This window comes from Homo sapiens, chromosome 13 (genome assembly GCF_000001405.40).
Source record: "Homo sapiens chromosome 13, GRCh38.p14 Primary Assembly".
Lineage (NCBI taxonomy): Eukaryota > Metazoa > Chordata > Mammalia > Primates > Hominidae > Homo > Homo sapiens.
Window position 1 is genome coordinate 62,835,260 of NC_000013.11, and position 14,016 is coordinate 62,849,275.

Consider the following 14,016-nt stretch of genomic DNA (forward strand, 5'->3'; position numbering starts at 1 on the left):
CTGAGAAAAAGAGGATATGAGTGAATGTGAACTTCCCTGTCTTGATGGGAATCTCATTGTAGCTACACCGTCACACTAACCTACACTGGATATTTTGATAGCCATTAAAATTTTAGCTCATTTCTTATCAGCTTTTCTGTCAGGCTGTTCCTTCATCCCATGCTCTGCCGCAGATGAGACAGTCAAGTATTGTCTTCCCTTGACATAGGACCATCTTCCTTACCTTTCTGGCTACTCCATTTTCCTAGGATCTTACCTCTCTCATGGGTTAAAAACAAGTGCTGGCTTAGTAGTTTAGCTGGACTTTTCTCATTGCTTTTTGCTTTCTATATTACAGGTGGACACAAAATTGAGTTCTCTTTTTATTATTATTTTAAGGAATTAATCTATAAAATTGTAATATTAAACTATTTTTCTAAAACCATTTTAGAAGAGACTTTTGCAGTATGAGGGCTTGGGTATCAACACAGGAAATTTTGAATTTGCAAGTAATGTAATTATTGACTGATACTAATTATTTTCCTAAAGGACACATTCTATTGAAGAGATTATAGTTAACAACATAGGTGTAAGCAGGAGGAAATCAACGTTAAGAAGGAGCAACCAGTAGTCAACCTTAAAGAGACTATATTTACACAGCTCTGCCAGACATAAGCATTCCTGATTATCCTTTCTTTCCCTTTTCCCTTTTCTTCCTTTTCATTGTTTTCTTTTTTCTTCCTTCCTCCCTCTCTTTCTTTTTTTACTTCCTTCCTTTTTTATTTTATTTTTCATTTTTTCTTTACTTCAATTTAATTTTCACTTACTTTCTCCCCCTTATTCCTACTAGTCATCAAGCCATTTCTAAAAATCCATTCTCTTAAATGGTAAGTATACAGAAATGATGTTTTCAGTTTTAATTAGTTCACATTATAATGAATTAAAATATATAATTAATATGACAAATGTTATAATAGAGATATGAAAAAAATTTTTGTAAACATAGCATAATACAAGATTAACTGTACTGGAGCTGGATGTAAATTGATACAAAATTGTATCTTGAAGACAATTTCAGCAGGTAGTACATGGAGATAATGGAAATTGACATTTAACAAATTACACACAAGGACCTCAATTAAAGAATGCAACATACGTTTACAAGTGTGGTAAACTAGACATCCTTGATACGTAACACTAAAATGTCCTTGAAGAGATACCAAATTCAAGTAACTGAAGATAAGATTTTAACTGGAAATAATAGCCTTTTTTCTTAGCCAAGCAAAGTGTAAGAGGTGTATGAAGCTATGAACTCAGAAAAGTTATACAAATTCTGTTTCTCTTTACAAACTCTATTCTTGTCAAAATAGGTCAAAGTGTTGCATAAAGTTAAGATAACTTTGATGGTGCTTTCCAATTGAGAAAAAGCTTTTTTTTTAAAATTATTATTATACAGATGGCTTCCAACAATTTCCCCCTGGAAGTTACCAGAATATCCAGTTTCTTTATTTGTAATTTAATATTGTAACTTTAATTGTTCATAAAAATTTGAAGGAATTTGATAACAATAAACTTAATATATTTTTAAAGCAATATTTTTGTCTTTTATGACTACTTTTCTTGAAATGCAATTGATATAAGTCAAAGATACATTTTTCAATTACAAAAATGTAATAGAATGCATGCTACATAGTCTTATTTTAAGAAAAGAAAAAAGCACATATGAGACTAGTAGCATATTTTTTGGCATCAATATCAATATTTATTCATCTAATACTATTTAACAAAATATTTGATGTAGATAGACCATATTTTAGAGACTTCTTTTATGTCAAATACATTTCATCACAATGATAATCAATTTGATTTATGCATTATATTGTTCAAAGAAATGATTACTTAAAATCTCTCAGCTTGTTAATGGTAGAGATGGCGTTAGGTAGTGCTGTGGGGCCTGCAAATATAAACATAATGGGCTGCAAAGAGTTGAGCAAAAGGTAAATGAGCAAAGAATATTTGAGACAAATGAGATTAAGATGGGATGAATTTGAACTCATCTGTTGAGAACTTATGCTGTTGTAGAATACCCATATTAAAAATCAAATTCAGTTTGTCCTTTGAAACATTTTATTCCAGGTTAATTAAGAGTATTTTTAATAAGACAGATGAACAAATTAAAACAAAAAAACTTTAGTTTTTATAAAGTACAAATATAAAACTTAAATCTGATTATCATTGTAAGCATATAAACTTTGATGTCCCCTTTAATATCAATTATGTGTGGTATATAGACTCATATATGAAAACCCATGCCTCTTTATTTTATTCACAGTTCAAATTTTCAATTTCATTTTGTACACAATAAACACAGATGGCTCTAAATTTGGTTGACTGCTTCTAAGTAATTTTTATGTGGATATAATTTTATCACAATGACATCTCATCAGAGTAGCGAATAATTTAAGAATACTGTTGCAAACACATGTGTGTGTCTGTTTGTATATACATGTTTGTGTCTCTGTAGCTCTATTCATCAGGATACAAATAGTGTTAGTCATGATAATAGTAATTTTGTGATTTTAAAAATTCATTTAGCAAATCCACGTTATATTTTGTTAATATTTAAATGTGTAACATTAATAATAGTGAATACTGCTGAAAATATCTGCAATGTTAACTTAGAGCCATGATGTAAACAGAAACCAACAGAGACATATACATGCCCTGGGAGGAACAGCAACTCCCCGGCAGGAATTCTAAATTGGAGTTGGAAGAGCATTCTTTGGATCCAGTTTCAACATTGACTAGCTCTACGTAAGTTATGTAGCCCTTCAGTATTGCATTGTGTCCTTAAAATAGAAAAGGATATGTGTATGCTAGACTGTTTTTGTAACATACTCATGTAATGTTTGAGCTGAGTCATCTTCCTTCCAGCTTAAAACAATATTGATTATATTACAAATACAATGATGACTATGTATATATTTGTAATATCATTTATCAGTTTTCCTTTAAAATAATAATTTTTCAGTAGCTCATGCCTGTAATCCCAGCACTTTGGGAGGCTGAGGCGGGTGGATCACAAGGTCAGGAGTTCAAGATCAGCCTGGCCAAGATGGTGAAACCCCTAAAAAATACAAAAATTAGCCCAGCGTGGTGGCAGATACCTGTAATCCCAGCTACTCGAGAGTCTGAGGCAGAGAATTGCTTGAACCCGGGAGGCGGAGTTTGCAGTGAGCCAAGATCGTGCCACTGCACTCCAGCCTGGGCAATAGAGCGAGACTTCATCTCAAGAAAAAAAAAAAATTTTTTTTTGAAATGACAATAAGATTGACATACACCAGTATATGTATATCCTTAATTTAAATTCATTAGAAAAAAGGATACAAAATGTGAGAAAATCTGTTTTTATATGGATATGAGATATATACTATATCATTGCACTAATGAGAATTATTTCAAGACAAAGACAGTACATCAGTGTACCTATTTTATAAAATATTAAACATGTCTATGCTTTAAAATACTTGTCACCTATACTTTATAAGGAAGATTATAAAATTGAATTTATTCTCATAAGGATTTACTTTTGAGCATAGAATATAATTTAATTTTTAACTACAATCACATATCTACGTTGAAATTACTTTTTATCTTTGGAGGGGAAAAGATAGCAATGACATTGCTGTAAAAGCACATTTTCTTCCTGCACTCATCTCTAAGAAAAAATAAAGCCCATAATTGTTGTTAATGTAATACATGCACTAACATTGTATTTTTGCTATCAGTTTCTAGGCCATAATAAAGATAAATAGGCAGCTGACACAGCTTTGAAGACACTATTTCAAATGTCTGGCTTGTAAAAAATTCATCATGCTGTCTAATACTTACCAATGAAAGTAACTCAAGGACAGCTCACTCTGTACCAGCACTTCATCATTTCAAAAAGCTTACAGCCAAAGGAGAGTTTTTAATTGTTTATGTGATATATGACTTGATTGTCTCCACTCTGCACCTAGGAAGAACAGAGTAAATTAATAATAAGCTTAGGCACCACTGCAAAAAAAGTTGCTAGGAAATTCAAGTGATTTATATCATGGTTGATGATGCTTGGACATTAGATAAATAAGGAATATCAATTTTCTTCTAAATCTCAAGTCGGAATGTAGGTTTTCCAAATTTCAGTTGAAATAATCATCTTTTAACTATGAAGGTTAGGAAGAATACAATTGTGTGTTCACATTGATGGGAAAATGGCAGATGAAAATTGGATGACTTTCTGTACTATGTTCTTTAGCTTTGTCATACATTTATATGGAGCAGCAGGTACTGAATTTCTACAAGGAAGCAATAATGAAAAGTAATGCAGACAGAAATAGCTTGCCTCCAGCTAGACTAATGGCAAGGTCAGATTACATCAATTAAATCAGAAAGTCTCCAAGATAAAGTTCACTAATACATTCAGGGATTTTATTTTTCCCCAAATAGATGTCTGCTTTTATAAGTAGAAAAATTTCACTGTAGTTTCATGTAGGTAACAAAATACATTGAAAAACAGTAAAGAAAAAAACAAGTAAAGTTATATAACTATATAAATACATATATATAATTTACGTGAATGGTATTTGCAGAAAGCCAAATACCTTTTTTTTGGTAAATGTATCCTTACATTCATTGATACTGTAATGACATTGCTAGTAATAGTTGAGTTTTATTTCCACTCAGAAACAAATGTTGACCTGAGAAGTGCCTAGCCTAGTCATTTAAAAAAGTGCTATTTCTCTTATTCAATATTATTTTAAATTACATTAATCATTTGAGACATAGCATGCAAAGTTAAGAAATAGAGTAACAGTAATAGGTAACAAAAGGAGTAGGTCTGCATGGAAAATGAATTTTGGCAGTAAAAAATATATTTTTACTTCTATATTATTTTTCTTCAGAAATTAAAAGTAGTACATTGGCTTTTAATACTGCAGAAAATAAAGGAAGACTGTATCTAACACTTTCTATTAATAACCTTTACTAACTGCCTACTGTGTGCCAAACTTTGTTGCAAGAAATATAGAAAAATTGAAGATGAACTCTACATAAAGGCATCTCTTAGGTAAGTTAATAAGAAAAAGAGAAAAGCACACCAAGTAACTATTCTACATGATAATGCAAAGGTTTGAGGTAAAAGCATTGTCAGAACTGATGATTTTCAGTCAAATAATATGTGAGTAGATATATCCAATTAAATAACAATTTGTAGAAATTTGGAGCCTAAGAACCCTTTCCCATTATTGTCATATTAGAGTGTAGAGAGATAAATCATAACATTTTCAATGTACAATAGTAGAAAAATAGATATCCAAAATTTTAAATATGAAAAAATTTAGTTTATCTATGTAAAATAAAAGTGAAGTTATAAGGATGTGTAGAAATATAAATTATATATAAGAAATCTATAAATTTTCTTATAATTTTTAAACCATCAATACAGAGAGCACGTGATCATTAAAACAATGTTTCAATTATAAACTTCTATTTTTTAATGATTTTCTGTATATAGCTTTATGTATATTCAGTGAAGAATAAATGAATTTGAATCTCAATTTTTAATCTGTGAAGTCACTAATTGAACATGATAGCTTCATGATTTTTTCAAAAAACTATTATATTATCTTCAGCAATAACATTACTAAGGTACATCAGTCTAGTTCTGAATTGGGCCTAAGTCAATTAAAAAATTTTTTATTGCATTTATTTGAAACTTACAAAAATTTAAAGAGAGGTGAGTATTTATGTAAATATTTACTCATTAATAAACTTGCATTATCAATAGATTTGTAAGGGTTACTTAGTTTCCATTAACTCATGTTTGTATGCACACACACACAATGTATATATTTATTTTAAGTTTATTTTCTAATTTTCTCTTCTCTTTTTTGCATCCTTCTTACTGACTCATCAGTTTATTTTTATTTAATTTTCTTCAGAGGAGTAACTTATCTTGACATCATTACAAATTTTATTTAATTTTCTTCAGACGAGTAACTTATCTTGACATCCTTATAACTTGAAAAGTAACTATTAATAATACAATTTTCTAAGCAATTCTGTTTCTATTGATGGCTCACATTGTGTTTAACCTGAATCTCATCCTTTGCACTGTCTCCATGCTTTTGTATCTTTTGCTATGAATTCCTGGAGTACCTTTAATCTTGTTTCATTTCACTGGACTTAAAGTTACTCTGGTTTGAGCATGGTTATTATCTTCTCTGCAGGGTGTTTCTTGAGTCCTCCTGCTATGTTAGGTGGGCACCTGCTGTCCAGCGCATCTCTCTCTCTCTTTAACTCCTATTATTTTTATGACCCTCCTGGACGACAGGCTAATACAGAACAGACACTTTGGCTTATCTATTATTTTAGCTTCAGAGCCTAGCAGTGCTAGAAATATATAGTCAGTATCAAATTATTATGTATAAAATAACTAAAGATAGTATATTAAGAAGTTATTTTTCTTTATATTTTATATAGATCTCTCACCCATACTTTTTCACAATATGTCCCCTGTTTCTTGAATCCAGCTGACATCATTCTAAAATAGATTCTTACTCTCCTATTCCTATATTACCCCATTTAATTTTTTGTGGTTTTCTTGTTCAAGGAATCTTCTTCCAATCTATCATAGACACTGCACTCATAATAATTTCCCTTGGATGCTGAAGGTTTTAGCAATTAAGTTCAGCTGTGGATTGTTTCATTTTAAAGGTTTGGTTTTTGTTCTGAGTGAGGTAGGAAGCCATTAGAGGGATAAACAGTGATTATGTCCGATTTAAGACCGAAAAGGCTTATTCAAGCTGTGAAAATATAGGCTGTGGCAAGGTTCAAGTGTGAAAGTAAAGAGTACTGTTAGGATGCTATTTTAATAATCTTGAGGGAAATAATGGTAAGATAAGCCAAGGTGAGACCTGAGAATGTGTAAGAAGTGGTTGGGCTTTTTACATCTTTTAAAAGTATATCTAGCTTCAGAACTGAGAGGCAAAATATTAACAGGATATTATTAGTGTTTGTGACATAAATAGTTAATGATCAACTAACTCATAATCTACTTTGCTCTTCTTTTTTAATTAATAGAAAACTGGTTTTTCTGGAGTTATCAAAAAAATTTTGACTCACCCTTGAGAATATGGTGTCTAATAACTATGTCATTACTTATTAGGGAAGCTAAAGTTAAAATTATGAGATTCATCTACACAGCTCTAGAATTTTAACAAAATAACACAATGCACAACAATGGCGAGTGCTATGAGGATTTAGAGCAACTGGAGCTATTATACATTACTTAGAAAACAGTGTGGTAGTTACTATAAAGTTAATCATGTCCCACTAATCCAACTCATACTACTAACTTTTGGAACTAGAGCTTATCTTCATATAAAAATGTACATAGATTTTATACAGTTCTTTTGGTAGTCACCAGTGAGTTGAAAGAACCCAAATGCTGTTCATTTGGTGAATGGATAAGCAAAGTGAGACTTATTCACATAATGAAATAGTAGGTAGTAATAAAAAGAACCAACTATCAATACAAGCCTGGGTAACTCTTGAATGCAGTGTGATGAGTGAAGGGATGCAGGTTCAATGAATAAAGAAAGTATGAATTGGTTGATGGCAGAGGGTCACAAGGAAACTATCTGCTGTTATGGGAAAGCTTTACATATTAATTACAGTGGCTGTTACATGACTGTATACATTTGTTAAAACTATACATTGTAGAGGGCAAATGTTTTAGTATGTAAAATATATCTCAAATTCTGAAATATACATCAATAAATTTGAGATATATTTCACATACTAAACATATTTATTGAGATATATTTCACATATTAAACTATACATTATAAAGGGCAAATATTTTAGTATGTGTATATGTTTCACACACAAAAACATTTGCTCCAAGCCTGATCCTATGCATAAAAAGTTGTAATCAAAGCTAGGGCTGAATTTATCATATATTTCTAGTTTTTTAATCCACATATTACATCATGATAAATCAGTTCCAATTTTTGTTTAAGGGACCATTATCCCAGTGGATGGGGCAGGATAAATAAATATTGATGGGACTGGTAGTACATCATTATCTGCATTGCATGTGATCAAAAAGATCTTTATATAATAGTGAATACAGTCAAATTTACATAAAGAAACTTATGGGGTTAATCTTCTAAAATTAAAGATATTTTATCAAATACAAATACCTAATTATATTGTCATGTCTTAAATATAATATATATATACATGTATACATAATGTACATTGATAATTATGTAGCAATTCTCTTAAAGGTTGGGTGACTACCTATTCCAGTGTATGATTTATGAAGAGGTTCTGACCTTTGTAGGATTCCTTCATGTATTACGGAAATCTTATATAAGTAGTAACCTTATTCACAAAAAACACTTCCTTTACTGTTGGTTTAAAATACCTAGTTGAGGATTTTATTAGTTCATTCTCATACTTCTGTGAAGACTACCCAGGGACTGGGTAATTTAGAAAGGAAAGAGGTTTAATTAACTCTTAGTTTCACATGGCCAGGGAAGACTCAGGAAACTTACAATCACAGTAGAAACTGAAGGGCATGCAAGACACCTTCTTCACAAGGTGCCAGGAGAGAGAAGTGCCAAGCAAAGGGGAAAAAGCCGCTTATAAAACCTTCAGATCTCATGAGAACTCACTCACTATCACGAGAACAGCCTGGGGGTAACCGCTCCCATGATTCAATTACCTCCCATCGGATCCCTCCCACAACATGTGGGGATTATGGGAACTACAATTCAAGATGAGATTTGCTGGGGGACACAGTAAAACCATATTAAGTATGAGGTCCTCTAGTCTACTTCCTTTAGAACAAGTGCTTCTGTGCTCTCTCTTGCTCTTTCTCTCAATGGATTAAAAATTAAGAATGCAGCAGAGTTTACCCTAGACCCCCAATGCCTTCGACAACTTACACAAGCCCAATATTAAGACAAATAGTGGGATTTAAATTTTGACTTATAAACTATTTCTGTTCTTCCAGAACAAACTCACTTGCAGTTACTGGATATTTTTGTACATTAAGGTACATATATGATGTTCTTTATTTCTTGAATAATTCTAGATATGCAAAACTTTTATCTTCCTATATAATGGTCTTAAAGAACATTACCTTTGCATTAGACAGCACGTTTTTATATCAACTCACATGAAGCATGGGGTATTATTCATTATTTTCATTTCCTTTTATTGTCACTCATACGATAAACAAGGCATCATCATCTTGTCATTAAAACTTTTTGAAATTGAACTGTAAAATATCATACTTTGCAAAGTCTTCATATTAGTACCTTATATATCTGTGACTTGTATATTACTGTTTATATCTATCACTGATTTTTGTTATTTCCTAATTTTGTACTTTTACACAAATTATTTGGAAGTAACAGTTGTAGTTTTACCTCTAGTTGCTGAAGTACTTTCAAATAGATTATTTTAAATAGATATTAGTTGAACAAATGAACAGATACTTGCATCAACATTAATATATTGTAATGTTTTAAAGATAAATTTTGTTAAAATTTATCACCAAGATTGAAACACACAAAATTAAATTAGTATCTGGCCATAATCTGAAAATCTTTGATTTTATCCTTTTTGTTTTTGTTTTGAAATTTTATTTCACATTAAAGGTTAGATGTTCCTGTCTGTATTTTTCTCTCCAAAGGTAAATGCAAGTGTTTCTCCTGTAGGAATTCCATTTTCAATAGTTTTCTGGGACATTAACAACTACGACAACTGAAGTGATAATTTCTATTCTTCTTCCCTCTTTGCCTGTTCCTCCTCCTTCTTCATCTAAATTTGGAAGGTTTACTGATTCACTTGTCAAACTTTGATGACCAATGAAATAAAAATGGAAATGGGCGAAAATATTTTTGTATTCATATATCATTATTAACAGACATTTATGATTATTTTTAGATTGCTTACTATTTTTCCTAAAAGAACCATATTAATGGGATTTTCTGTGTATAGAAAATAGAAAACTTTCTGCCAGTATATCTTGTAAATAAATGTCATAATGCTTCACTAGGCCATAATCTGGACAGAAATCATTCAAATATTGGATGAATCTTAGATAATGCCTCTGGCTTAAATATTGCATTTGAACCTAATGTGCAGAAATGTGTGTTTGTAGCAAATGGTTTATGTTATAAGAAAAGAGATTACATTATATGGTGTATTATTTTCTGAAATATTTACTGAATATGTTTCTTTCTGGGAATGTATAGCCACATAATTTACCTATAGAGAAAAATAAAAGAGAATATAGCAGGTGTTGAACACCATGTTGTTGCATGCAAAAGAAATATTTACTTACAAATAAATTCTGTTTGCATTATCGAATAGGTTAATTAAGTTTAGTATCCTAGAAAAATAAAGAGAGATTTTAACTGCTCTCTAAAGACAGAAACAACTAAATCTACAGAAGTTGTCATATTCTTTGTGAAAATGTTCAGTGCAGAGAGGCCTACACTCAACCTTTTGTAAGCCAAGCAATCTCATCTGTATTTTAGCAGAAACATCAGCATTTTATAAATTTCAAGGTAAAAAGAGAGTATTGTTCACTCTGCAGACATACCAGCAGTAAATAATATTTATTCATATGAATCAATTAGGCTACATTTAAAACATCAACAACCTCAATATTAACTACTTTAGTATTTAAATCCTTAAGTAAAAACCTTGCATAAAGTCATCTCTTGGTTTTGCTTGCATTCGTACAGTATTAAGCCTATGGAATCTGCTAAGAACTTAGAATATTTAGTATTTCTAAATTAAAACAAATGTATCTGAAGAACTTTTATAATGAACATGCAATTATCATTAATAGTAATGTAAATTTGTTTTTAAGAATCAATCCAGCTTCCTTAAAATTATCTTAGTTTTGGGAAAAAGTCCTTCAAGTATGAATTTTATTTGAAGTTACTTTTACAAAGTTTTTCTATTATATATTACTACTATTTGAGATTGCATCATGCTGGCAAGAAGGTAAAGAAAAGGGGAAAGTGTAAAATGCTTTTCTATATAAATGACGTACTCTTGTGGCATATAATTTTGGTTAAAAATCAGTTGCAATTTAAAAAAGCACTTCTAAAATTGGTAAGCAGGAGGAAACTCAGGATGTCTTACATGTTTTGAACACATAGATGAGTAATGATGAATCACCCATAATAACAGGGAGAGATGATCTTATAACTATTTTCTGCCAGTCTCCCAAGTAATAATTTTTGTTTTATTGTTTATGTTGCTCAGCTTTCTGCATCACATTAAGTGTATATCATTTCGCTTTAGGAAATATTAAATGGTTTCACAGTAGAATAAATTGCCAGCTTTCAATCAGTTTTCATAATGTCCTTGACCACAGCAGGTAGTCATTGATGCCATGAGGTGTAGCTGAAGTCATATGGGAATTTGAAATGAACTGCATACTGAATTTTAAGAGAAAATACAATTCCTCTTCATATATTTGCAAAATATAAAGATGCCTTTACACACCCTCAACAGAATGTTTGCAATTTTCACTGAACTTGTTTCTCAATTTCTCCAATCACATCTGTCTTTTAAGGGGAAAGAGACCCAAAGCTCCATCCTCCTTCTCCCTGCCTCTTTGTACAACTCATTCTTCCAGATATCTCTGCAGTGCTTTTTAATGCAATAATTGAATTGCTTTTGGTTTGCAAAAGTAGCATATTAAGGACTGTGCAGTACATACTCTCAGTCCTATATATGAATAGCACTTGGTCATTTTCCATTTCTAATTGAAATGCTATTTACTATATGAATTAAAATATCTGTGGGATGTGGTAAATAAGCTTTTTCAATGCTGGATATTTAATATCGTAATTTAGTCTACTTTAATCTAATATTGCTTCATGTTTTCCTTTAGAATTGCATATTTTACTCTTTGCTTTGTGTTAAATTCATTTGAATTCACCAAGTATTTCCACACTACTGAAATGATATGCAAGGTATGCTAGCAACTTATAACCTAAATAAGCAGGTTAAGCAGGTTAATTGGGTTTTCACTTTCCCAATTACATCCCTGCTTATTTTAGTGAATATTGTTAAAGTATATTGATATTATATTAGCATCTGCTATATAATTTTCTTTCATTCATGTGCAATTTGTGGTGTTTGCCCTTTACTTTGGAGAAGCCACTCATTCAAGAAAAATTATATTTAACAAGTATTAAAGCCTTCTTTTCTTCACTTCTCTTTTTCATATGTATCTCAGATCTAATTAAATGTCTAAGAAGGTTGTGTCTCCTGTTTAAACAATTGACTGCATACACAGTGCTACCCCACTGGTTTATTGGGCTGAATTAAGTTGTTTATCCATTATCTCTTGCTGGGGCTGAAGAAATTCAAGACAGTATGGGACCCATAAAAGATGTCACCACTTAATGTCAAAAGCCCAAATAAAAAACATTTGATTCAGTAGATCTTTGTAAGGGTTTAGTATTTAATTTCCATGTGCAAATGATATCATCTATAATGTTGACACTGTTGTCCTATGATATAAGTGAACTGATCACATAACACAGTTTAAGAGGTATACATTGATTTATGATTTTTAGCATCGCTTTACTAAACTTCATAAGATACATGTCTAAGCAGCTTACTTTCCTTCGCTCACTTAATTGTCTAAGCAACTTACTTTCCTTCGGTCACTTAATTTCCAGGACATTTTTTTCATTCATTGGTCATCCATGTTCTTTATTTGATATTAGCCCTTCACAGTTGGTATTATTTACCGTGTCTAAGGAAAGGTGTCTCTCTCTCACACACACACACAAACACACCAAGCATATTATAATGTTGGAGTACAGTATTATGGTAACAAACTGAGCCCAAAGACAATACAATGGAGTTGTTTAAAAATATGCCCTCAATAACTGCAAAGATGGGGTTCAAATCCTGACTCTTATTTTTACTTGTGCGATTTAAAAAAAAATTTAATTTTGTGGTTAGATGGTAGGTGTATATATTTATGGGATACAGGACGTATTTTGATACAGACATGCAATGTGTAACAATCACATCAGGGTAAATAGGATTTCCATCACCTCAAACATTTATCCTTTGTGTTACAATCTAATTATACTCTTTTAATTATTTAAGAGGTACAATTAAATTATTATTGACTAGACACAGTAAGGTTAAGTAAATTGCTTAAAATTACATGACAAATTTGTGGGAGCTAAAAACTTGTATGATTTTAAGCAATTTATTTAACCTTACTGTGCCTTATTTTTCTGTCCTTAATCAATGTCATTGTAATACTACCTGCCCTTGAGGTACATAGTACCACTCATTACTCTAATAACGAGTGAGTTGTTATATGTCGTTATTAGAAGAAGACCTGCCATTAAGTACTAAGTCAGTGCTAGCTTCTATTTATTCTACACAAAATCTTAATGAAGTCATAGCTGTTCTAATACTATACAATATATAAATAATTTGTTCTTGGGATGGTCATATATCCTATTATGTTTAGGAAATTTTTAGTTTATCATTGTTTCCAGTGTAACATTGTCTTTGTCTAAACATTCATTCATATGATAATAATTCAGTGCTGCTTTTTACTCTCAGAAGTGTAAGTTCTTAGCATATGGTCACCCTATGATAACTCTACATCTTCTATGTAGCATGTACTGTTTTTCAGCTTCTTCCCATATTTCTTCAGTAAAGCTGTTCTCCCTCAATAAGGTGACTAAAGACTTCATTTAGGCTAATCCCATTTGACATTTTAAAATTCTTATCTTAAACTATTATAACATTATGAATGTTATATAGCATATAACATTGCTAATCAATTCCCCATTCTTAAATTCATCTTCCCTCTCAGAATCTGTATCTTTCTTTTTCCTGAATGTCCATTCTCACTTTCTTTTGTGTGATCCTCTTCTTCCCCTATTTACTATATATTTTTAATTGCTCATAGTTTTTCTC

At 31.0% G+C, this 14,016-nt stretch overlaps 1 long non-coding RNA gene across 1 annotated transcript in view; it reads right to left on the reverse strand.

The window, feature by feature from the left end:
* Window positions 1-733: 733 nt before the first annotated feature.
* Window positions 734-14,016, reverse strand: part of LOC105370234 (uncharacterized) — a 75,553-nt gene continuing 62,270 nt past the window's right edge. Inside the window, exon 3 of the long non-coding RNA XR_942013.2 lies at window positions 734-3,994. This is a non-coding gene — a long non-coding RNA (uncharacterized LOC105370234). The remainder of the gene's footprint in view (window positions 3,995-14,016) is intronic.